We start from the raw sequence: 26,527 nt of genomic DNA on the forward strand, positions 1-26,527 counted from the left end.
GTACTATCCTAGAGAGATATTGCTCCCAGTATCACAGTGGGTGTACACCCTGTGATATTATTCATAATCTCCTAGAGAGATATTACCTCTAATATCACAGTTTCTCTACACCCTGTGGTATTATTCATCATATCCCAGGGAGATATTATCCCTAACATCACAGTGCGTGTACACCATGGGTGGACACCCTGTGATGTTATTGGTAATATCCTAGGGGGATATTACACTTAATGTCACAGCGGGTGTTCACCATGTGTGCACGCACTGAGATGTTACTTGTAATATCCTGGGGAGAAATTACACCTAGCGTTACAGTGGGGGTACACCATGTGTTTCTATTCTGTGATGCTATTCGTAATATCTTAGAAAGTTATTAGTCCTAGTGCCACAGTGGGTGTATACCATGTGTGTCCACTCTGCGATGTTATTCGTATTATCCTAGGGAGATAGTTCTCATAACATCACTGTGGGTGTACCTCATGTATGTACTCCCTGTGGTCTTATTGGTTATGCCCTGGGTTGATATTACACCTAATATCACCATGGGTGCACACCATAGGTGTACATTCTGTGATGTTACTCATAATATCCTAGGGAGATATCACTCCTGATGTCATAGTGGGTTTACAGCCCTGTGATATTCTTGGTAGTATCCTTGGGACATATTACTCCTGTTATCACAGTGGGTATACACCCTGTGATAGTATTTGTAATATCCTAGGGAGATATCACTGTATACCCTGTGGTATTATTTGTGACATTTGAGGGAGCTATTTCTCCTAAAGTCAGAGTGGGTGTACACCCTGTAATATTCTTCCTAATATCACAGTGGCTGTACACCATGAGTGATATGTTTTTCTAATATCCAGTGAGGGAGAGGATGATACTGCTTCCAATATCACGGAAGGTGTACACCCCCTTGTGATATTGTTCCGAATATCCAGGGAAGGAGAGGATGACATTATTCCCAATATCACTGGGGGTGTACCACCTCCCACAGGGATATTGTTCTTAATATCTGTAGTGGAGAGAATGATGTTACTCCCAATATCCCAGGGGGTGTAAACCACCCCTGTTTGTAAACAGGGGTGTATCACCCCTGTGATATTGTTCCAAATGGCCTGTGAAAGAGTCAATATGACTCCCATTATCGCAGGGGGTGTTCAGCCCTGATGATATTGTTTTCTAACATCCAGGGAAGGAGAGTATGCTATTACTCCCAATATTGCAGGGGTTGTACACCTTTTTGTGTTATTGGGCCCAATATCCAGGAAAATAGAGGATGAGAGTACTCCCAATATGGAAATAATTGTACAGCACCCCTGTGATATTCTTCCTCATATCCAGAAAGGAAATGAATGATATTACTTCCAACAGTGTAGGAAATGTATACCCGTGCTGTGATATCTTTCCCAATATCCAGTTGGGGAGAGGATCATATTACTTCCAATATCGCAGGGTGTGTACACCCCCTCTGTGATCTCGTTGCTAACATCCAGGTTTGGGGAGGATGACATTACTGCCAATATCGCAGGAGGAGTCCACCCTGCCCCTGTGTCCTTCTTACTCATTTCCCAGGTGGAGAGGATGATGTTCCTCCCAATATCGCAGGGGGTGTACACACCCCTGTGAAAATCTTCCTCATCTCCAGAGGAAGAGGGGATGATATTACTCCCAGTACCGCAGGGCGTTTACACAGCCCTGTGATACTCTTCCTAATATCCACAGGGAGAGAGGATGATATTACTCCCAATATCGCAGGGGGCGTACACAACCCTGTGAGATTGTTCCTAACATCCAGAGTGAAAGAGGATGATATGACTCGCAATATCGCAGGGTGTGTACACCCCTCCTGTCCTATTGTTCTGAATACCCTGGGAGGGAGAGGATAAGGTGACATTGAATATCGCAGGGAATGTGTACCCTCCCCCTCTGATACCCTTCCTAGTATCCAGGGGAAGAGAGGAAAATTTTACTCCCAATATCGCAGAGGCAGTACAACCCACCTGTGATGTTGTTCCCAATACGCAAGGTTGGACAGGATGATACTACTCCGAATATCGCAGGGGTGTTCACATCCCCCGTGACATTTTCCTTAATATCTAGGGGAGAGACAATTATATGACAGCAAAGGTCGCAGGGTCTGTACATCCCTTCCTGATATTGTTCCTAATATCCAAGGGGGAAGAGGATGATATCGAATATGAAAAGGAGTGTACAACCCCCACCCCTAAGATATTGTTCTTAATATTCTTGAGGGGAGACGATGATATAACTCCAAATATCGCAGGGGTTGTTCACACCCCCCGTGATATTCTTTCCAATATCCTGGGTGGGAGAAAATCATATTACTTCCAATATTGTAGGTAGTGTATTCCCCACCTGAAATACTGCACTGAATATCCAAAGAGGGAGAGGATGGTATTCATACCAATATCGAAGTGTGTGTGCACGCCCCTTGTGATACGGTTTTTAATATCCAGTGGGCGGGAGGATGATATTCATCCTAATGTCACAGAGGGTGTACACTACCCTTGTGATACTGTCCCTAAGTTCCAGATGGGAGAGGATGAGGTCACTCCCAATATCTCAGAAGTTGTACATCCCCCGTGATACTTACTGTTCATCATATCCAGGGAAGCACAGGATGACATTCCATTGAATTTCGCGACAGGCGTACACGCACAGTGTGATATTGTTCCTAATATCCAAGAAGGGAGGAGATGATATTACTCCCAATAAAGCAGTGGTTGTACATTACCCGTGTGTTATTGTCTCTAATATCTGGGGCCGGGGGAGCGGGGAAGAGGATAACATTCCCTCAAATTTAGCAGGTGGTTTGACGCCCCTCGTGGTGGTGTTTTACATATCCAGAGGGGAAGACAATAGTACTATTTTTGATAGTCCAATTCATCCGCTCCACCTTTCCAGAACTCTGAGGCTGGGAGGCGGCATGCAGTTTCCGTGTGATCCCCAATACCTTTGCTGTCTTCTGTAGCAAGTCAGCTACAAATGCAGGCCCGTTATCTGAGCCGATCCGGAAGGGCAGTCCCAATCTAGGAATCAGACCTCGAAGAAGCACACGGGTTTCTTCACGAGGTTTCCCAGTTCGTGTTGGATAAGCCTCCACCCACCCAGAGTAGGTACGCCCAAGAACAAGTAAATACTTGTTACCTCCACACTTTGGCATCTCTGTGAAGTCTACCTGGAGATCTTCAAAGGGGACTGCTCCATAAGCTTGTACACTGGGCTGAACGGCTGGACCTTGCCTCGCATTAGGCTGTAGGCAGGTGACACACCACTGCCTCACCGTTTTGGCAAGAGCTGACAAATGTGAGATGTAGAAATACCAGCCTAACAACTTTTCAAGTGACTCCTGACATAGATGGGTGCCAGTACAACTGCAGTTCCTCACAGCTGTGGCACAGCTACGCTCCCATCTGGTAACTGACTCCATCCTTCCTCCATCACTTGTCCTTCCCTCTACCTGGAGAAAGTCCTTTTATTCTTTAGAATAAGCAGGTCCAAGATCAGGTGCTTGAGGGAGCAGAGGGGCTATGACTGATGCCCGGAAGGGGACAGATGCTGCTTTTGCAGCCTCTGAGTCAGCGCGGGAATTCCCCAAGCCCACCAAGGTGGAAGCTCGCTGGTGTCCTCTGCAATGCATAACTGCCACCTTGTGGGGTTTCCATACTGCTTCTAATAAATGCAAGATTTCTGGTTGTTATTTTCTGCCTTTTCCCCCAGAGTTCAATAGGCCCTTTTCCTTCTATCACGCTCCATGCACTTGAAGGGTTAAAAAGACATACCGAGAATCAGTGTAAATGTTGACAGTCTCACCCTCACTGAGTTCTAAGGCCTGAATGAAAGCAATGAGTTCAGCTTTCTGGGTGAAGTGGCCTGGGGCATCGATCTGGCTTCAACAACAGTGTCCAGGGTTACCACTGCATACCCTGCACCTCTCTCTCCTTGCGGGATGATGAAGCTGCTCCCGTCCACCTATAGTTCCCAGTCTACTGATGCCCAAGGCTGGACCCGGAGGTCAGGTCTGCTAGAGTCAACCGAGTCCAACATTTCTACACAATCATGCTTGACAGGGCTCTCTGATAGTGGGAGCAAGGTTGCAGGGTGTAGGATGTTACAAACTTCAATGGTTATATGGGGATTTTCACTTTGGTACTTGGTGAGTCTCGCATTCGTTAGCCAATCATGTCCTTTAGTATTCATTAAAGTCACCACAGCATGGGGGGCCTTTTCTGTTCAGGTTCTACCCAAGAGTCAGCTTATTTGCTTCTTGTACTAGCAGGGCAGTTGCTGCCAAGGCCCTCAAACATGGGGGCCATCCTTTAGAGACCCCGTCTACTTGTTTAGAGACGTAGGCCACCAGCCTCGGCCAGGGCCCCACAGTTTGGGTTCAAAGTCCGGCTGCCATCTTTTCTCTCTCTGACACATACGATGTAAAAGGCTTTGTCAGATCAGGTAGCCCCAGGGCTGGGGCTGACATAAGTTTCTCCTTTAACTCGTGAAAGACTTGCTGTTGTTGGGATCCCCATTCAAAAGGTTCCCGGTCCCCGCCTCCTTTGTGACCTCAAACAAAGGCTTAGCTAATACTGCAAAGTTTGGGATCCACAGTCTACAAAACCTCACAGCTCCTAAGAATTCTCTCACCTGCCTTCTGCTCTTAGGCTCTGCTAGATGGCAAATGACCTGCTTTGTTTCTGATACGAGGCTGCATTCCCCCTGTCAGATAGTATATCCCAAGGAACATACCTGCTGTCAGCAGATCTGAGCTTTTTTCTTGGACACCTTATACCCACAGTCCTCCAGGTGTGGGCGTAGGGCAATCCGTTCCCTTGGTGCACCCGACTGCCGTGGGGTGTCCCAGCCAAAGCTCATCAACCTACCAGAGCAACACGCAGCCTAGGTCTCTGGTGGGAAACTTTTGGAGGTCTCGAGCCACTCACACATGTACCTTGGGGTGCCACCATGCATGGATCTGAGTGTTGCGGTCTGTTGTGAGATGATGAAGGATCTCAGGCATGTTCCTAAACATGTCTAGCTTATTGACATGAATCTAAGGAAAATAATATGTACGGGCAAATTATTTGAACTGTATTTCCTATAAATTGTTCAAGGTTAATTACTCAGGGCAAAACACCCAGTTAGTGAATTCACCCTCTCTTCTTTCTTGAAAAGCAGTTTTTGGCTATTTCAGTGCACTCTGGTATCCTGCCAGCATGTCAACAGGCACAAGGCTGACTGGTCAGGATCGCTGCCATCACTGACGGAAGCGAAAAATTACAGAGACTCGGCTCAGGGATGTCATTTAATGATGTTAATATTGTCCTTCAGTCCTTCAAGGGAAATTCAATTAATGTTCTTGTACACCTACTGTGTGTCGAGCTTTATTCTAAATGCGAGGAATAAAGCAGTAATCCACACAGACAAAAACAATCAAGAATCATCTACCCTCGGCCAGGCGCCATGGCTCATGCCTGTAATTCCAGCACTTTGGGAGGCGGAGGCCAGTGGATCACTTGAGGTCAGGAGTTCGAGACCAGCCTGACAAACATGCTGAAGCCCCATCTCTACTAAAAATACAAAAATTAGCCAGGTGTGGTGGCTCAGGCCTGTAATCTGAGCTACTTCAGAGGCTGAGGCAAGAGAATCACTTGAACCCAGGAGGCGGAGGTTGCAGTGAACCGAGACCATGCCACTGCTGCACTCCAGCCTGGGTGACAGAGCAAGACAGTCTCAAAAATAAAATAAAATAAAATAAAAAATCAAGAATCATCTTTAAGGCATATACATGACATGCAACAGAGGAGCATGTACTGCAAAAAATCCACTCCCATATCTCCTTGTTCAAATTTATTTTCAATGCTGGTCACAATCGCTAAATTTATTTCATGACCCAAAGTTTGGGAAAAATACTTTGTCTATGGGGCATTTCACTGAAGGCTCTTGTAAGCCATTTGGGCTTCTGTCAATTTTCTCCCAGGAGGATGTGACTGAACTAAGATGATATATTCCTTCAGAGGGCCCGCGAACCTCTGCTGCAGACACGTCTTGATAGGGTGCTTCCATCTGTCCCTGTTTGCAGTTATTTAGCAGGCAAGGAGGGGGAGGAAAGGTGAGCTGGGAGGATGGAAGGGAGCAAGAGAAAAGAATGAATATGCTGGGAGCACTGGCTCACGCCTATAATCCCAGCACTTTGGGAGGCCGAGGCAGGCAGATAGCTTGAGGTCAGGAGTTCAAGATTAGCCTGGCCAACATGGTGAAACCTTGTCTCTAATAAAAATACAAAAATTAGCCGGGCATGGTGGCTCACACCTGTAATCCCAGCTACTCAGGAGGCTGAGGCAGGAGAATTGCTTGAACCCGGGAGGTGGAGGCTGCAGTGAGCCGAGATCGCATCACTGCACTCCAGCCTGGGTGACATAGCAAGACTCCCTCTCAAAAAAAGAAAAAAAAAAAAAAAAAAAAAGAATGAACAGTCACCATACCTGGACTCCTAATTCTTCACTAAGGTTGGTGAACAAATATTCATAGCCATAAGCCGCTTTGCAGTTCAGCCACACAACATGGTACAGGCTCTGAGTGATCCAGCTTTGAACCAGCTCTAAGACTCCACATAAACACTCCTCCTAGACAGGATTTTAAAGAGACATTTAACAGGTGGAGAGCCGCACATAGCCTTTTCCTTCCCAACAGTCCCAGGTACTCACACCTACGGGGACAGTTAGGATATGACCTGTCACCCTACAAACTTCCTACTAAAAACACGGGCACACCCAGATGATAACCCTTTTCCTCCAGGCAGACTTACCTGACTTGGAATTTGGTAAAATCTTGGATCACACAACATAGTATCTAAATATACACTTTGGATGTCTTTGAAAAGAAGAAAAAAATTGATGTTAGCCATCCAATGTGATATAAATTATGTGTAACTTTTTTTGTTTTTTGAGATGGAGTTTCGCTCTGTTGCCCAGGCTGAAGTGCAATGTCTGCTCACTGCCACCTCCTCCATCTCCCGGGTTCAAGCAATTCTCCTGCCTCAGCCTCCCAAGTATCTGGGATCACGGGTGTGCATCACCACTCCTTGCTAATTTTTGTATTTTTTAGTAGAGACAGGGTTTCACCATGTTGACCAGTCTGGTCTCGAACTCCTGGCCTCAAATGATCCACCCACCTCGGCCTCCCAAACTGCTGGGATTACTGGCATGAGCCACCACACCTGTTTATGGCCAGAACAATATTGTTCTGTTTATGGCCAGAACAATAATACTTTATTCAGTCATACACATAAGAACTGTACAAGGGGCCAGGCACAGTGGCTCATGCCTGTAATCTCAGCAATTTGAGAGGCCAGGGCTGGCAGATCACCTGAGGTCAGGAGTTCAAGACCAGCCTGGCCAACATGGCAAAACCCCATCTCTACTAAAAATACAAAATTAGTTGAGTGTGGTGGCACACACCTGTTATCCCAGCTACTTGGGAGGCTGAGGCAGGAGAATCACTTGAACTCTGGAGGCAGAGGTTGCAGTGAGCCAAGATTACATCACTGCCCTCCAGCCTGGGCGACAGAGCAACACTCCGTTTCACAAAACAAACAAACAAACAAAAAACCACCTATACGAGGCCCAGTACCTGCCCCCGGAGTGCAAAAGCTCCATTCTAGCAGCTTCTCCTTGCACCAATCTGAAGTCCCCTGTGTACAAGATAGTTCCATTATTGCCCTGAAATAAAAACCTGAAAAAGAAATATATCCCAGTGACTTCTGAGTCTCATATAAAATCCCAAATAAAGCAAATACATGTGAGCTGCATAGTAAATGCTTCCTGCAAATATATCCATTAAAATACAATGGTAATGGAATCCCACAGTAATTTGAACCACACCAGGCACTCAGCTGTTACCTCTTCCCTCGGGTAGAAAATAACAGAATGGAGATGCTACCCAATTTCTAATAGATGTTCCTTGTGATATGTTAGCACTTTCAATTATATGTTGAGATCATTCTTGCTCATGGAGAGAGAAATACAAGTGATGATAAAATACAAGGTCGCTGGGGAAACAGCTGCTGAAGACTTCCATTTATTTATTTATTTATTTATTTATTTATTTATTTATTTATTTTTATTTTGAGACAAGAGTCTTGCTCTGTCCCCCAGGCTGGAATGCGGTGGTGCAATCTTGGCTCACTGTAACCTCCGCCACCTGGGATCAAGCAATTCTCTGCCTCAGCCTCCCCAGTAGCTGGGACTACAGGAGTGTGCCACCAAGATAAGTGAAAACCGATGGCCACAAAAAATGTGTGCCTGACTGTTCACAGCAGCATTCTTTTTTTTTTTTTTTTGGGAGACGGAGTCTGGCTCTGTCGCCTACTCTGGAGTGCAGTGGTGCGATCAAGATTCCTGGGTTCAAGCCATTCTCCTACCTCAGCCTCCCAAATAGCTGGGACTACAGGCGGGCACTGCCACGCCCAGCTGGCACAGCGGCATTCTTCATACTAGCCAAAAGGTGGAACCAGTTCAAATGTCTATCAACTGATGCACGAATCAGGAAAATGTGGTCTAGCCATACAATGAAATATTATTTGGCCATAAAAAGAAGTGACACGTGCTGCAACATGGATGATCCTTGAAAACATCCTCAGTGAAAGAAGCCGGATATGAAATGAGCACATGTTGTATGATTCCACTCATAGGAAATATCCGGAATAGGTGAACCCATGGAGACAGAGAGTCCAATACAGTAGTGGTTGCCGGGGGTTGGGGAAGGAGAGAATAGGGAGGCATTGCGATCGCTAAAGGCTTCTTCCCTTGGGGTGCTGAAAATATTCTGAAATTGATTGTGGTGATGGATACACAAGTGTGTGACTTGATTTCTATGTCAATAAAGCTATTTACTTTTTTTTTTTTTTTTGAGACGGAGTCTCACTCTGTCGCCCAGGCTGGAGTGCAATGGCGTGATCTTGGCTCACTGCAACCTCTGCCTCCTGGGTTCAAGCAATTCTCCTGCCCCAGCCTCCCCAGCTGGGATTACAGGCGCCTGCCATCACGCCTGGCTAATTTTTTGTATTTTTAGTAGAGATGGGGTTTCACCATGTTCGCCAGGCTAGTCTTGAACTCTTGACCTCAAGTGATACGTCTGCCTCGGCCTCCCAAAGTGCTGGGATTACAGGTGAGAGCCACCAAGCCCGGCCACTATTTAACAATTTTTAAAGCCTTAGCCAGGTGCGGTGGCTCACGCCTGTAATTCCAGCACTTTGGGAGGCTGAGGTGAGTGAACCCCTTGAGGTCAGGAGTTAGAGACCAGTCTGGCCAACATGGTGAAACCCTGTGTCTACTAAAAATACAAAAATTAGCCAGGCGTGGTGGTGGGCACCTGTAATCCCAGCTACTCAGGAGGCTGAGGCAAGAGAATCGCTTGAACCCAGGAGGTGGAGATTGCAGTGAACCAAGATCGCCCTACTGCACTCCAGCCTGGGCGACACAGTGAGGCTCAGTCTCAAAAAAAAAAAAAAAAAGATTAAAGCCTGGATGAGGCCTGGTCCCGATACACACTGCACATCATACTGTTCGGCAAGGGCAAGACCTGCGGGCACTACTGCCTCTCCAGCCATCAGTAAGTGGGGAGAGCTCTGCACACACCAGGTCACTGCTCAGTGACAGTGACTCCTCATGGAAGTCTCCATTCATTCTGGAGGACCCTTTCGAATGGGTCTCCCCCTGGTTGGAGCTGGATAAACAATGCACAAAAGTCATGGCACACAGGAAGAAACATAAAAAATCAAAGTGGAGGCAAGACTGCTCAAAAGTCAGCCTGCTGTCAGCCCCCAGCTCAGGGAATGCCTTTCACCAATATCCCTGATGTGACAAGGCCACACACTATCACACTATTCCCCGGAAAAGCAGTTGGCAGAGTCCAGGATGGCATTTACAAAGGTTCACCTATTTTTTTTTTTCCTTTTTAATTCTCCCTAAACTGGCTCTGTAGTCCTCCCTCAGGATAATTTGATGGGAAGAATACTTCAACTTCAACTGTCTGATCTCCAAAGAAGAAACATCTGAAAAGGTCAGTTTCTGTTCAGATCACATTCAAACAACACAAGACACCCTCACAGTTAAACATGGCAAAGCAGTGTGCTATAATCAAGCTACAAAACCAATATTAACCAAAATAGGAAAAGGTTAAAAAAACGGGGGGTGTATGTCTATAGTCCTACTTATTAAAACCATACATTCACAAAAGTACTACTCAAAATTTAATGATGAAAAATAAATTTTTCCACTTGGCAGTGCCCCTTTTCTGAATAAGGGTTCAGAAAAAAAGTACAATATCCATGAATTTGCTGCAAAAATATTAATCACCATTTTAAATTCTGAATATTATAAAACTCAGTAAATGTGACAATAACATCAGGTAGTAATATCAACACCAGGGTTCCCATCATTAGCATGTAATAAGGAACAAAAAATAAGCCATGCCCAATCCTTTACAACATGGGAAATAAATACATCACTGTTAAGGACTAAATGTTCGTGTCCCTTCCCAAAATCCGTATGTTGAAATCCTAACCCCCAAAGTGGTTTTATTAGGAGGCCTTTGGGAGGTGATTAGTTGTTGGGCATAGAAGCCTTGTGAGTGACATCAGTGCCTTTATAAAAGATGCCCAGGGGAGCTTGTTTGCTCCTTTACTATGGGAGGACACAGGGAAAAAGACAGCATCTAAGAACCAGGAAGTGGCCAGGCACAGTGACTCACACCGGTCACCCCAGCACTTTGGGAGGCCAAGGCAGGCAGATCACTTGAGGTCAGGAGTTCAAGATGAGTCTGACCAACATGGTGAAACCCCCTCTCTACTAAAAATACAATAATTAGCTGGGCTCTGGTCGTGGTGGCAGGCGCCTGTAATCCCAGCTACTAGAGAGGCTGAGGCAGGAGAATCGCTTGAACCCAGGAGGTGGAGGTTGCAGTGAGCCAAGATCACACCACTGCACTCCAGCCTGGGTGACGGAGTGAGACTCCGTCTCAAAAAAAAAAAGAACCAGGAAGTGGGCCCTCACCAGACACGAAATCTGCTGGAGACTGGATCTTGGATTTCCAGTCTCTAGAAACCTAAGCAACAAGTGTCTATTGTATAAGCCACTCAGTCTACGGTAGTTTTGTGAGTCCAGCCCAAATGGACTTACACAATCACAAAGGGATTTTTTGCCCCTAAAACCCCACTCAATTACTAGATTTTTATTTATGGTTAAATGAGCATTCAAAATCAAAGAGAAAGATTGAGGGTATAGCTGATGGGTGGAGCATCTGACTACAAAATCAAAGAGAAATATAAACAATCATTTTAGCACCGCATTTTTTTAAAAAAATCAATATTTAATATTTAGTTACCTCTCCTGATGCTTCATCCACTAAAGATATCTGGGTAGGAGCCTCGATTTCAATAGATATCTGTAAAAATAAAATAAGAGACCATGTATGTAGCAGTTTTTCATGGCTTTATATGCCTTTGCTGTCTGAAACACAGAAACGGGGCAAAGAGAAGTTTCAGACTCTCTATATAAACAATTCCGATTACATTGTAATAAATATTTTAACAGAAAGAATTGTAAAGAAAATAATACCTGTCTTGAGGCAGATTTGGCAATACGGAGTAAATGCCTTGTAAATGCATATAATCCTCTGACACAATTCTGTTTCCATGAATTCATTTTTCCTCCTTCATCTCCCCATCCCTACCACTCCCGTTCCCCTCTCTCTCTGAATTTTGAGTCTTTGTAAAAACGTGGTCATGTGTCCTAACTTTTGTGCCTCAGAACACAGTCTGGATGGGTCTGTGACATGGATGCTTCATACACTGGTTCTTTTTTTTTTTTTCTCAGATGGATTCTCGCTCTCCCAGGCTGGAGCGCAGTGGTGTGGTATTGGCTCACTGCAACCACCGCCTCCTGGGTTCACGCGATTCTCCTGCCTCAGCCTCCCAAGTAGCTGGGATGACAGGCGCCCGCTACTACGCAAGGCTGAGTTTTTTGTACTTTTAGTAGAGACAGGGTTTTGACATGTTGGCCAGGCTGGTCTCCAACTCCTAACCTCAGGATCAACTGCCTCAGCTTTCCAAAGTGCTGGGATTACAGGCGTGAGCCACCACACCCAGCCTCATGCACTGGTTCTAAGTGCTGCAGAACGCTCCCTGGTACATTTCCCCCTGCCATCAAAACAGAGACTAGCACATAAGAGGCATTCAGTAAGTATCTGATGAATAGATCAGTGTGATTTTTCATCTTTTTAGTCCACTAATGTCCTAAAACTTACAGTGTCTAAGGTTTGGGTGTTAAAGTATTTTTGCATTTCTGGAATGAAACATCTTATTCATGATGTACTATTTAACACTGCTAGATTCAGTTACTGTCTTTATGAGGATTCTTACATTTTCATGTATGAAATGAGTTTTTCCCCATTTATTATTTTTGAGATAGGGTCTCACTCTGTCGCCCAGGCTGGGGCGCAGTGGCACGATCTCAGCTTGCTGCAACCTCTGCCTCCCAGGTTCAAGCAATTCTCCTGCCTCACCCTCCTGAGCAGCTGGGACTACAGGCACCCGCCACCATGCCTGGCTAATGTTTTGTAGCAGAGATCGGGTTTCACCATATTGGCCAGACTGGTCTCGAACTCCTGACCTCAGGTGATCCCTCCACCTCAGCCTCCCAAAGTGCTGCGATTACAGGTGTGAGCCACTGAGCCCGTCCTCTTTTCTAATATATCTATTTAATGCTCTCAATTTCCCTTCAAGGACAAATTTAGCTATGTTCCACACATTCTGACATGCCACGTTTCCATTGTCCATCAGCTCCTTTATTTATTTATTTATTTATTTATTTATTTATTTATTTATTTATTTAGAGACAGGCTCTTGCTGTGTTGGCCAGCCTGGAGTGCAGTGGCGCAATCACGGCTCACTATAGCCTCAAACTTCGGGGCTCAAGTGATTTTTCTGCCTCAGCCTTCTGAGTGGCTGGGACTACAGGCACACTCTACTATACCAGGCTAATTTTTAAGGTTTTTTTGTAGACATGGGGTTTTGCGGTATTGCCCAGGCTGCTTTCGAACTGCTGGACTCACACAATTGTCCCACCTTGGCCTCCCGAAGTGCTAGGACTACACATGTGAGCCCCCAAGCCTAGCCATATCAGTTCTACATATTGTATGTTTTCTTTATCGTACAATTTCCTTTTTAACCAAAGGGTCAGTTATTGTATGCACTTAGTTTCCACGTGTATGGGAAGATTTTAGCTGTCCCTTTGTTTCTGATCTCCAACATCATTGCCTTCTTTTGTGACACAGTACATGGTTAGTTTTTGTAAGTGTCATGAGCACCCCCCAAAATACTATTTTCTTCCTTGGGTTTAAAGTTCTGTTCATTAGTCCACATTCACACATTTTCTGCATCCTGTTTCCTGCCTCCTTCTTTCAGCATCTGGGAGGGGCATGTTAAGCTCTTCAGTGACAATTGTTGATTTCCTATTTCTTGCCCTGATTCTGCGGTGGCCTTGTTTGTACTATGTCAACTCACCTAAGCTGGAACTGTTTCCTAGAACCCCTTTCCATGTTGTTGCCCACAGTAAACATTCAGAAGGCAGATGTGAACTAGTAGGGTTTTTTTAATGCTCTGAAGGGTGCCAGAAATGGTAACAGCTCGTGAACATTGCTGACCTTCTGGCTTAACTCAGAGTCTGGGGCAGGGCCGCAGCAACATCAGCTTCTGCTGGGTGCCTGTGTGCAGCTCCTCCGAGTCCTGGGGCAGGTGCATGTGCTTCAGAGCCAAAGCGGGAGACCAGCACTATTGAGGCCAGAAGAAGTGAGAGACAGAAGTGGGTTTCGGTCTGTCCTGCTGGGCTCTAGTGAGCCACTCTGCCTTCCAGTTTGTCTCTGTTCCCCTCCACTTCTCTTCCAGCTTTCCTTCCTGACTGCTGGCCGGGCTGACCTGTAGTAACTTCAAGCTGAATGTCAGAGACAACAGGAACAACCCTGCTGTTGTGACTGCTCTGCAGAGGGAGGACAAATCCCCTTCCCAATCAAAGGTCAGATGTGGAGGTGGATGATATCATGCACACAAACACACGTGCACACACTATGTGTGCATACTCACACACGCATGCACATACACACACACGCGAGCACACACACGACAGAGAATGAGAAGAAAACTTCAGTCACATCACAGGATTTTCGGGGAGGGCAGTGCAGTCCCTGAGCTGAGGACAGAAGTGTTTCCTGTGGCTTAAGAGAGAGTAGGAGCAAGTAGCCCTGGTTTCCACTTTGGTGCGGGTTGGGCCTGGACATGCCTGGTTTGAACTTCGCTTTAGTGCTAAGGCAGGCATGGGCCTTTTTGTCAGCTTGCCCAAATGTGGGTAGGAGGGAGGCACTGGCTGTAAGCAGCTTAAGAGCAAACAGAAGCCTGGCACAGTGGTTCACACCTGTAATCCCAGCACTTGGGTGGCCGAGGCGGGAGGATCACCTGAGGGCAGGAGTACAAGACCAGCCTCGCCAACATGGCAAAACCCCATCTCTACTAAAAAATACAAAAATTAGCCAGGTATGGTGGTTCAGGCCTGTAATCCCCGCTACTAGGGAGGGGGAGGCAGGGAGAATTGCTTGAACCGGTTAGATGGAGGTTGCGGTGAGCTGAGATCACGCCTCTGCGCTCCAGCCTGTGACAAAGTGAGACTATCTCAAAAAAAGGAAAAAAAAAAATAGAAACAGACTCTTTGTGACACTGGGACAAACTGCTCTGCCAACTCCCACAATGATTTAAGAACTAATCCATGTAATGAACCCACATTCTGTTAAGTCATTGTGGTTCTCCTCAGATCAAGCACTGGGTGACAGGTTCTCGCAGTTTCTACTTCAGCTGGACGCTATTTTGTCAGTTGCACATACATCCATATGACCCATGGCTCCTTTTAACAGTGACACCCTCTTCAAACCTTGTCTTTCTTTGCCTTCTAGTCTACTTTCTGATATTAAAAACTGCCACTCTGACATTTTGGCCTTCTAATTGGTTAGTAATTTTTTCTTCTTCCCCCAAAATTTCAAATTTCAACCTATATTTATCCTTCTGTTTTATCTATGTCTCTTATAGACTAATACTCATGAATTTGTCTAACTGTTTTGTTTGTTTTTGAAGATGGAGTCTCTCTCTGTCACCCAGGCTGGAGTGCAGTGGCACGATCTCAGCTCACTGCAACCTCCGCCTCCCAGGTTCAAGCGATTCTCCTGCCTCAGCATCCCAAGGAGCTGGGACTACAGGCACCGCCACCACACCCAATTTTTTGCATTTTTAGTAGACACGGGGTTTCACCCTGTTGGCCAGGCTGTTCTCTATCTGACCTCAGGGGAGCTGCCCGCCTCGGCCTCCCAAAGTGCTGGGATTACAAGCGTGAGCCACTGGGCCCAGCCAGATTTGTCTGATTTTTTTAACTTAAACTGAGAATTTGTCTTTTTTTTTTTGAGACGGAGTCTCGCTCTGTCGCCCAGGCCGGACTTCGGACTGCAGTGGCGCAATCTCGGCTCACTGCAAGCTCCGCTTCCCGGGTTCACGCCATTCTCCTGCCTCAGCCTCCCGAGTAGCTGGGACTACAGGCGCCCGCCACCGCGCCCGGCTAATTTTTTGTATTTTTAGTAGAGACGGGGTTTCACCTTGTTAGCCAGGATGGTCTCGATCTCCTGACCTCATGATCCACCCGCCTCGGCCTCCCAAAGTGCTGGGATTACAGGCGTGAGCCACCGCGCCCGGCCGAGAATTTGTCTTTTGACCAAAGGTACAATTAGATCCTTTCTTATATATAGTAATATATAATTGGACTTTTTCTGCCTTCTTTGCATTTTCTATGCACCAGACGTTTTTCTCCCCTTGACTACCTCACATTGGACAGATGCATTTTATTCTGCCAGACCGAAAGTTACCCATTCTATCTGTATTCTTCTAGCTGTCATCCCTTCCTTATGACAGACTGTAATTTATGTTTATTTTTCTTACTCTATCCCACAATTTAAATAAAAGGATTTAGCAATTATGTTAATGAACACTTTATATTCTTGTTAAATATATTAAAATGTGGCCAGGCATGGTGGCTCACACCTGTAATTCCAACACTTTGGGAGGCCAAGGTGGGTGGATCACCTGAAGTCAGGAGTTTGAGACCAGCCTGGCCAACATGGTGAAACCCCGTCCCTACTAAAAACACAAATATTAGCTGGGCATGGTGGCGGGATTCTGTAGTCCCAGCTACTTGGGAGGCTGAGGCAGGAGAATCGTTTGAACCCAGGAGTCAGATGTTGCAGTGAGCTGAGTTTGAGCCACTGCACTCCGGCCTGGGCGACAGAGTGAGACTCCTCCTCAAAAAAAAAAAAAAAAAAGAGAAGAAAAGAAAAGAAAAGAAAAATACTAAAATGCATCTTAGCAAGAGGGTCAATGAGATTAAACAAACAAAACTAAAGACCTAGATAGATCCATTGCACTCCAGCCTGGGCGACAGAGTAAGACTCCGTAACAAAAAAAAAAAAAAAAAATTAGCCGGGTGTGGTGGTACATGCCTGTAATCCCAGCTACTCAGGAGGTTGAGGCATGAGAATCGCTTGAGCCTGGGAGGTAGAGATTGCAGTGAGCCGAGATTGCACCACTGCACTCCAGTCTGGGCAACAGAGTGAGACCCTCTCTCGAAATCAATCAATCAATCAATCAATCCCCCAGCAACCTCATAGCTCAGGAGGAATAAGTCTGAGGCGTATGTTTTACACTGGCTCCAGCAACTTCTCCAGTAGGAGTTAAGCTTCCATTACCTGCCACAGTATCCGACTGGATAACGTACTCTGTTGGGTTCCTCCCTGCCTTGCTGCTTCTTCCACCCCTTACCTATGGTTCTTTTCCTCCTGAATAACCTCCTTGTACTCCGAAGCCTTATCCCAGGATTGGCCTCTAGGTTCCCCCACCTAAGACAACATAATCCCAATGCTGCCAGGAATCTCTGCAGAAACAGCCTAAATGTTGATGAGTGAGGAAGGCAGTACTAACCTTTAAGATTTAAGAAGTCCCCTTCTTTGAGTTGTTTGACATCAGTGAGTCTTGAGTGCTTTGAGATCAACTAGATAACAGATCATTTTTATTTTAACTGCTTCTTCACTGATAAGTTTGTTTTGGCATCATTTCCAAGTTCTGACCTTTAAATAGATTTTTGTCTTTTTTGGTTTTTGTTTTTTTTTGAGACAGGATCTCACTCTGTCACCCAGACTGGAGTGCAGTGGCACTTTCATGGCTCACTGCAGCCTCAACCTCCTGGGCTCAAGCAATCCTCCTGAAGAGGAAATTAATGAATTTTACAATATGTAAAGCCAGAAAATTAACTTTCCCCTCTGGGCTTAGTATAATGTAGCACCGCCATAGTCTAAGTTAGAGAAGAATACTAACTGCCTGTTTTTCCTTCTGTGCTCTGAGAGACTTATCTGTTCTCACTACTTTCACATTCCTTGAGGCTCAGTGAGTTCCTGCTTCACCTCCCTAGGGCAGCTGCAAAGTTACAAAGTTGATAAAGAAACATGGTTTCCCAGGGCTGTAGAACATGTAGTATAGATAAATGTAAAAGACTGATCAACTGTCTTTGTTCTCGCTTCTGTAAGTACGCTTCCTGCATCACATAGCTCCCAGCCACTGACTGCTTAAAAGGTGGCTTCTTTCTTTGTCTGGTGCTCAGACTTTCTGGACCCTAGTCCTACTGAGCCAGTGATCACCTTAATAATAAAGGGCTCTCCTGAACTCTGTTCGGTCTCTCCCGTCTTTGATTGTCCCGCTACACTCCCACCTCAGCCTCCCAAGGAGCTGGGACTACAGGCACATGCCACCATGCCTGGCTAAATTTTTTTGTCTTTTTTGTAGATATGGGTTTCTGCTATGAACTCAAGTGATCCACTCACCCTGGCCTCCCAAAGTGCTGGGATTACAGGCATGAGCCACCACACCCCACCCAAACTGATTATTTTATTGCAGTAAAGACAACCCTGATTTTAGTGCCACCCGTGATAGGCTGGCTTTTGCTAATAGGATTAGAACATCCTCAGTAGAAAAATTCTGTGAACCTGAGATCAAAGTCCAGTTTTTACAAGATCAAATATTGAGATTAATGATGTGCAAGAAATGTCAGGGCCAGAAGAGACCTGTAGAAAGAAATCTATTTTCTGACCTATTTAAAACAACTATCAAATTTTTATTGGCAGCACCGGGTAAGTAATAGTAGCTCCACTAATCAGTTACATTCATTCATTTATTTATTTATTTTATTTATTTATTTTTGAGATGGAGTTTCACTCTTGTCACCCAGGCTGGAGTTCAATGGCACAATCTTGGCTTACTGCAACCTCTGCCTCCCAGGTTGAAGCCATTCTCCTGCCTCAGCCTCCAGGGTAGCTGGGATTACAGGTGTGTACCACCACACCCAGCTAATTTTGTATTTTTAGTAGAGATGGGGTTTCACCATGTTGGCCAGGCTGGTCTCAAACTCCTAACCTCAGTTGATCCACCTGCCTTGGCCTCCCAAAATGGTGGGATTACAGGTGTGAGCCACCCTGCCCAGCCTACTTAGTTAAATTTAGAGCACTAGCAATAGATAGTCTTAGAACAAGCAGAAGGTAGTTTTGTTCTTTCTCAAGTGGCAGAAGCAGACATGGGTTGTCAAAAGCAAAAGGAGGGTTTCATTAGTCCATTTTCACACTGCTAATAAAGATTTAATGGACTCAGTTTCATATGGCTGGGGAGGCCTCACAATCATGGTGGAAGGCAAAAGGCACATCTTACATGGCAGCAGACAAGACAGAATGACAGCCAAGCAAAAGTGGAAGCCCTTTATAAAACCATCAGATCTTGTGCGACTTATTCACTACCATGAGAACAGTATGGGGGAAACTGCCCCCATGATTCAGTTATTTCCCACCGGGTCCCTCCCACAACACGTGGGAATTATGGGAGCTACAATTCAAGATGAGATTTGGGTGGGGACAAAGCCAAATCATATCAAGGGTAAAGGAAAGAATTAACAGGGTAGAGCTGAGATTGCTGTCTTTAGAAAGGCAGGCTGCCAGGGCTGGCCCTCCACTGGCACTGGGCAACTGAGATCTCAGGGGTGTTCTCACCATTCCTGATAAGAGTGGCTCACACTGCTTAACACATGTGTACAAACAATCTGATTTATGTCACTCTCCTGAGAGCCTGAAATTTTGGTACATGCTAGGCAGCGGGTACCTATGTAACCAGCCCCAAATAAAAACCCTGGCCACTGAGTCTCTAACAAGCTTTCTTGGTGGACACCATTTCACGTGTTGTCACAACTTGGTTCAGGAGGAACTGAGCATGGCCTGTGTGATTCCACTGGGACAGGACTCTTGGAACCTTGAGCGTTGTTTCCTCTGGAGCTCACGCTATGCTCCTTCTCCTTTTGCTCATTTGCTTTGGATCTTTTCACTGTAATACATCATAGCCACAAGTCCAGTGAGCCCTCCTCTTAAACCATCAAATCTGGGGCTCATGTTGGGGACCCCAGATGTGCAGAGCATAATGAGTTGTTCACTAGAGTGCATCAAAGTACAATCATAAGCAAGATTAGTATCAGAGCAAAGGAAAGCTGAGGTCAGCTAGGGCTCACAGGCAGAAGCAATCTGCCACTAGCAGGCCTTGGCTCAATGCAAGGGACTCAGGTCAACTCTCCTCTACTGTCTGCAGATCTCCTACAGGAAATGGATGTCTGGTGCAAGGGGAAGATGGTGTATATTTTTTATGTTTAGCTTTATTCATTTATTTTTTTGAGACAGAGTCTCACTGTGTCACGCAGGCTTGAGTGCAGTGGCACAATCTCTGCTCACTGCAAACTCCACCTCCTGGATTCAAGTGATTTCATGCCTCAGCCTCCTGAGTAGCTGGAACTACAGGCAGGCACCACCACGCCCGGCTAATTTTTGTATTTTTAGTAGAGACAGGGTTGCTCCATGTTGGCCAGGCTGGTCATGAACTCCTGACCTCAAATGATCCACCCGCCTCAGCCTCCCAAAGTGTGGAGATTACAGGCATGAGCCAACATGCCCGACGATGTATATTTTTTTTAAATCAGGAAACATGAGTTTAAGACTTAATCCCTTGGGGACCATGTGCGGTGGCTCACGCCTATAATCCCAGCATTTTGGGAGGCCAAGGAGAGAGGATTGCTTGAAGACAGGAGTTTGAGGCCAGGTGTTCAAGGCCAGCCTGGGCAACATAGTGAGACTCTCTCTACAAAAAATATAAAAATTAACTGGGCATGGTGGTGTACACCTGTAGTCCTAGCTACTCAGAAGGCTGAGGCAGGAGGATCCCCTGAGCCAAGGAGTTGGAGGCTGCAGTGAACTATGACTGCCCTACTACACTCCAGTCTAGGTGGCAGAAAAAGACCCTGTGTCTTAAAAAAGGAAAAAAAATAAGACTCAGCCCCTTGAAGCGCTGCTGCTGTGTCAGCTCCTAAAAGTCCCCAATAAGCTCTTATCTATCAAGGCTTAGTGCAGTTTTTTAATCTGGTATCTTTTCCAGCATCCGCAACGTGGCTTCCCACTGGTCCCAGGGTACCCAGTCCAGTGCAAATAGTTGGCTGGGTCCTTGATTGCAGAAGGACTGCCAATAAGAAAGTTCTGAACAGTTTTTTGTCCATGATATCAGTTCCTCAGCCTTGCAAATCTAGACAACACCTGTGTACATGGAAAGTGGAAAGTTCAGGGCCAATTTCACCTTTGTAGCTATTGGCACCCCTGTTCTCAGAGGCCGCATCCATATTACATGCAATATATAAAAATGTCCCAACTCTACTCTCTCAAAAGAATTTTTTTTTTTTGAGAGTCTCGCTCTGTTGCCCAGGCTGGAGTACAGTGGCGCAATCTTGGCCACTGCAACCTCTGCCGCCCAGAGTCAAGTGATTCTCCTGCCTCAGCCTCCCGAGTAGCTGGGATTACAGGTGTATGCCACTAAACTGAGCTAATTTTTGTATTTTTAGTAGAGATGGAGTTTCACCATGTTGGCCAGGCTGGTCTCAAACTCCTGACCTCAAGTGATCCATCCGCCTCGGCCTCCCAAAGTGCTGGGATTACAGGCGTGAGCCACCACGCCCGGCAAAAGTCTGTTTTCTTATACCTTCCACCAGATTAAGAGCTCACAGAGGCAAAAACCTACCATGTCTTTGTACCTCTTAGTGCTCTACTTCTAGTGTGGATGGGTAAATAAGCAAATGAATAGATCATCCATTCTACTCATTACTAACAAAAGACAATTCTGTTATTAAAACTTTAATAGAGCCCTATTAAAGGGAAGATGAATTTATTACCAGAAAGAACTGGAAAAAATTAGATACTTTTTTTTTTTTTCATTTGGAAGTGACAAATGCTCAAAAGAACATTCAGGCTGGGTGCGGTGGCTCACGCCTCTAATCCCAGCACTTTGGGAGGCCGAGGCAGGCGGATCACCTGAGGTCAGGAATTTGAGACCAGACTGGGCAACACCGTTAAACCTCATGTGATTACTAGTACTAAGTGTCAACTTGACTGGATTGAAGGATGCAAAGTATTGTTCCTGGCTGTGTCTGTGAGGGTGTTGACAAAGGAGATTAACAGGGAAGTCAGTGAACTGGGAAAGGCAGACCCACCCTCAATCTGGGTGAGCACCATCTAATCGGCTGCCAGCGTGGCTAGAATATAAACAGGCAGAAAAATGTGAAAAGGCTGGACTAGCCTAGCCTCCCAGACTCCATCTTTCTCCCATGCTGGATGCTTCCCGCCCTTGAACATCAGACTCCAATTTCTTCAGTTCTGGGACTCTGACTGGCTTCCTTGCTCCTCAGCCTGCAGATGGCCTATTGTGAGACCTCACGTTGTCATATGTAAGTCAATTCTCCTTAATAAACTCCCCTTTATACATACATCTATCCTATTAGTTCTGTCCCTCTAGAGAACCCTGACTAATACACCCCATCACTACTAAAAATACAAAAAAAAAAAAAAAATGAGCTATGCATCGTGGAGGGCGCCTGTAGTCCCAGCCACTCAGGAGAGAGGCAGGAAAATCACTTGAACCCGGGAGGCAAAGGTTCCAGTAAACTGAGATCACACCACTGCACTCCAGCCTGGGCGACAGAGTGAGACTCAGTTTCAAAAAAAAAAAAAAAAAAAGAAAAACATCGCACAGGGAATTCTATAACTTGTTTTTCAAAGTGCTACATGCATTAAGTTTCTCACTAGCGGTTTATTCTTGGCCAGGAGGTGATTTCCGAAATGCTTCTCAAAAGGCAACAAAATCAGAAAGTTCTTAAATTCTGAGAAGTGTGGTAATGAAATCTGGCCCCATATTTCTGCCTCCAGCAAAAAACAACTTCCTTAATTCTGACACCTATCAATAAAGAAAAGTTTTTTGTTTTCTTTTTTTTAGACAGTCTTACTTTGTAGCCCAGGCTGGAGTGCAGTGGTGCAATCTTGGCTCACTGCAACCTCCACCTCCCAGGTTCAAATGATTCTCATGCCTCAGCATCCCAAGAAGCTGGGATTACAGGTGCCCACCACCACAGTGGGCTAATTTTTTTTTTTTTTTAAAGTAGAGATGGGGTTTCACCATGTTGGCCAGGCTGGTCTTGAACTCCTGACCTAAAGCGATCCACCTGCCTCGGCCTCCCAAAGTGCTAGAATTACAGGCCTGAACCGCTGCAGCCTACCAGTGAAAAGTATTTAACTCATGTAGCAATTTTACTTATTGTGGATTTTATAACTAGTAGGAAAAATGACTAGAAATCCATGGTTCCCTAATTTTTAAGGCACATATTTGAATTTCTGGACTGACTGAATTGAGATAAAGGGTGACTGTAAAGGGCAAATCCTTTGATGACTTCAAATCTAGGCATATCAGCAAGATCATTTCCTTTCTTATCATTATTTACAATATATATAGTAAGAGAGTGCAAGGGAGGGATTGGATAGGCAGAGAAACAGAAAGAAGAAGAGAAGGAGGAGAGAGGAAGAAGAAAAAGGAGAAGAAAGAGGGGGAGGAGAAGAAAAAAGAAGAGGAAGAGAAGGCAGAGAGAAGAGGTGATGTCTTAGTCTATGCTGCTATAACAGGTTACCCAAGACCGGGTAATTTATAACGAACGGAAGTCTATTGGCTCACAGTTTTGAAGGCTGGGAAGTCCAGTATGAAGGCACCTGCAGTTTGGGCATTCTCATTGCAAGATGGTACTTTGAACGTGCGTCCTCCAGATGGGAAGAAGGCTTTGTCTTTGTCTTCATAGGGTGGAAGAGGAAAGGGCAAAAAGAGAGAGGGCAGGAAGGGGCTGAACTGACCCTTTTATAAGGGCATTAATCCCACCCATGAAGGCAGAGCCCTCACCATCTAATAGTTTTCCCAAGGGTCCTATCTCTTAATATTACAAAGGCAATTAAATTTCAACATGAGTTTTGAAGGAGACAAATGTTCAAACTATAGCAGGTAGGGAGAAAGGAAGGAAGAAGGAGGGGGAGGGAAAAGAGACTGATGGGTTAGGAGGAACTTTAGCAAAAGAATCAGCTCTGCCAGGTGGAAAGGGAAACTACCAGGAGAGAAAGAGGTGGGGGAAGGAACCTCCTAGAGGAAAGGGCAGACTCCACCATTTTTTTTTTTTCTTTTTTTTTTTTTTTTGAGACGGAGTCTCGCTCTGTCACCCAGGCTGGAGTGCAATGGCAAGATCTTGGCTCACTGCAACCTCCGCCTCCCAGGTTCAAGCAATTCTCCTGGGTTCAAGAGATTCTCCTGCCTCAGCCTTCCAAGTAGCTGGGATTACAGGCTCCCACCACCATGCCTGGCTAATTTTTGTATTTTTAGTAGAGACGGGGTTTCGCCATGTTGCCCAGTCTGACCTTGAACTCCTGACCTCAGGTGATCTGCCCACCTCGGCCTCCCAGAGTACTGGGATTACAGGAGTAAGCCACTGCACCCAGCCGACTCTACCCTTTTTGAACATTATTAGAACTTCTTTGATGGGCAAGAAAGGATACTAAGGAACTCCGAAAGGAAATACAATGAAGAAGGAAGGATAAGGCCCTACTGGGATCTGAGGCCTTCACAGCAGGACCCACATGATGATGAGAGAAGACTGTCCCTTTGCAGGGTGAGCTGAGGCTGGAAGTGGTCTATGGCCCAGCCACTTTGTTCTTGCAGGTGTGCTCTGTGATGGACTAATCAGTTATGGTCTTGGGAGCTCACGGTGGGTTCCACTGTGGCCTATGCCAAAACCAGAGAGTATCTTCAACAGCCCATAAAGAAGCATAAGACTGTACTGCAGACAGTTTTCATTTTTTCTTTTCTTTCTTTCTTTTTTTTTTTTTTTGAGACGGGTCTTGCTCTTGTTGCCCAGGCTGGCATGCAGTGGCACGATCTCGGCTCACTGCAACCTTCACCTCCCGGGTTCAAGCGATTCTCCTGCCTCAGCTTCCCGAGTAGCTGGGATTACAGGTGCGCACCACCACGCCCCACTGATTTTTGTATTTTTAGTAGAGACAGGGTTTCGCCATGTTGGCCAGGCTGGTCACGAACTCCTGACGTCGTGATCCGCCCACCTCGGCCTCCCAAAGTGCTGGGATTACAGGCGCTGAGAGTTAAAAGGCTGGGGTTGTTCATTGAACTCCCAGAAGTAGGAGTTTGCTAGCAGAGAAGGCAGTGGTGAGTTGGGGAGAGGCATTCTAGGAGCATAGAGAAGCAAAGTTAGAGAAAAGGAAGCCACGGACCAGAGAAAGCCCGGTATAGTCGGAGTGTGACTTCCAAATCCCGAGGCTGGTGCCAAACAGCACTGTATTCGGCTGTTCTTGCTTTGCTATAAAGAAATACCTGTGACCGGGTAATTTATGAGAAAAGAGACTTACTGGCTCCTGGTTCTGCAGTCTATACAGAAAGGGTAGCTCTGGCATCTGCTTCTAGGGAGGCCTCCAGAAGCCTTGACTCATGGGGGAAGGGGAAGTAGGAAAAGGCACGGGTCACACAGCGAAAGCAGGAGCAAAAGAGAAAGCTGGATGGGGAAGTGCCATAGCTTTCGAAGGACCGGATCTCATGAGAACTCACTATCTCTGAGACAGCACCAAGCCACGTGGGATCCGCCCCCTTGACCAAAACACCTCCCACCAGGCCCCACCTCCAGCAGGGGGGATGACATTTACCCAAACTATATCAAGCGCCATCTCCTGTGCTCCAAGTTTTCTTCCCAGTCAAAAGCATTTTACGCTATCTTCTCGGGGCTCTGCATTGGGACGCCATGGGGAAGCACAGAGGTAGATCTGGCTCTTGGGGAGAAAGGGGAGCATGGGCAAATGGTGTGCCATTTCCACCTTAGAAAAAGATCAAATCACAGAGCGTCAAACAAAAAGAGCCTGAGGTTTTGTAGCCTGACACTCTCCACTGTCTCCTTTCATTGCTCATGTTCTCATTGAATCTCACACCAATCTCGCGAGGCAGCTGAAGAAACCCAGGCCCAGAATGGTGTGTGGTTTACCCATGGCCTCCCAGGGGCTGAGTGATTCTAGATGTTAGCCCAGCACCCCACAGCTGTATATGCCTGCAATGAGAAACCAGCAAAGGAAACTGCACACGACCTGCTAAGAAGGTCCTGGCCCAGACGCTGATTAACTGTACGTTTAAGTCACATTATTGTCTTTACATTTAACTGTGGTTATAGCTATTTCCTGGAGGTCAAATCCTCTAAGAATTTTTATTTATTTATTTTTTAAAGATGGAGCCAGGCGTGGTGACTCATGCCTGTAATCCTAGCACTTTGGGATTCCAAGGTGGGTGGATCGCTTGAGGTCAGGAGTTCAAGACCAGCCTGGGCAAAATGGCGAAACCCCATCTCTACTAAAAATACAGAAATTAGCTGGGCCTGGTGGTGAGTGCCTGTAATCCCAGCGATTTGGGAAGCTGAGGCAGGAGAATCGCCGAACCTGGGAGGTGGAGGTTGCAGTGAGCTGAGATTGCGCCATTGCACTCCAACCTGGGCAACAAAAGCGAGACTCTATCCCCCCAAAAAAGAGAGATGGGATCTCACTCTTGCCCATGCTGGAGTGCAGTGCCACAACCACAGCTCACTGCAGCCTCAAACTCCTGGGCTCAAGACATCCTCCCCTCCTTGGCCTCCTGAGTAGCTGGGACTACAGGTGCATACCACTGTGCCTAATTTTTAAAAATTTTTGTAGGGATTGGGGGGCCTTGCTATGTTGCCCAGGCTGGTCTCGAACTCCTGGGATCAAGCAATCCTCCCTCCTCAGCCTCCCAAAGTTCTAGGATTACAGCCTCTCAGAATTTTTTAAAGCAAGAATTGTAGGCCAGACGCAGTGGCTCACACCTGTAATCACAATATTCTGGGAGGCTGAGGCAGGCAGATCACGAGGTCAAGAGTTTGAGAGCAGCCTGACCAACATGGTGAAACCTCGTCTCTACTAAAAATAC

General features: G+C 46.1%; 1 protein-coding gene, 1 long non-coding RNA gene and 1 pseudogene across 4 annotated transcripts in view, besides 1 other annotated feature; 1 reads left to right on the forward strand and 2 right to left on the reverse strand.

The window, feature by feature from the left end:
- Positions 3,512 to 3,571: an enhancer, noted in NCBI's record as "active region_3088". NCBI's record gives its function as "activates an Ori minimal core promoter by ATAC-STARR-seq in GM12878 lymphoblastoid cells {active_cell/tissue: GM12878}" and the evidence as "EXISTENCE:reporter gene assay evidence [ECO:0000049][PMID:35858748]".
- DCLRE1CP1 (DNA cross-link repair 1C pseudogene 1) lies at positions 4,675 to 25,028 on the reverse strand (annotated as a pseudogene). The gene is made up of 6 exons (NR_144469.1): positions 24,955 to 25,028; positions 11,407 to 11,466; positions 7,654 to 7,755; positions 6,830 to 6,894; positions 6,507 to 6,647; positions 4,675 to 5,074 (listed from the first exon to the last, which is right to left on the reverse strand). The product of NR_144469.1 is annotated as a DNA cross-link repair 1C pseudogene 1 (transcript).
- The window catches only part of ACBD7-DCLRE1CP1 (ACBD7-DCLRE1CP1 readthrough), a 73,705-nt gene continuing 51,852 nt past the window's right edge, over positions 4,675 to 26,527 (reverse strand). The window contains exons 4-8 of the long non-coding RNA NR_144471.1: positions 11,407 to 11,466; positions 7,654 to 7,755; positions 6,830 to 6,894; positions 6,507 to 6,647; positions 4,675 to 5,074 (exon numbers count right to left, since the gene is read on the reverse strand). This is a non-coding gene — a long non-coding RNA (ACBD7-DCLRE1CP1 readthrough). The remainder of the gene's footprint in view (positions 5,075 to 6,506; positions 6,648 to 6,829; positions 6,895 to 7,653; positions 7,756 to 11,406; positions 11,467 to 26,527) is intronic.
- The window catches only part of OLAH (oleoyl-ACP hydrolase), a 41,659-nt gene continuing 36,929 nt past the window's right edge, over positions 21,798 to 26,527 (forward strand). For both annotated transcript variants that reach the window (XM_047425423.1, XM_024448060.2), the window contains exon 1: positions 21,798 to 21,953. The gene's annotated coding sequence lies outside the window, so the exon portion shown is untranslated. The remainder of the gene's footprint in view (positions 21,954 to 26,527) is intronic.

The sequence above is a fragment of the Homo sapiens genome, chromosome 10 (genome assembly GCF_000001405.40).
Source record: "Homo sapiens chromosome 10, GRCh38.p14 Primary Assembly".
NCBI classification, from domain to species: domain Eukaryota; kingdom Metazoa; phylum Chordata; class Mammalia; order Primates; family Hominidae; genus Homo; species Homo sapiens.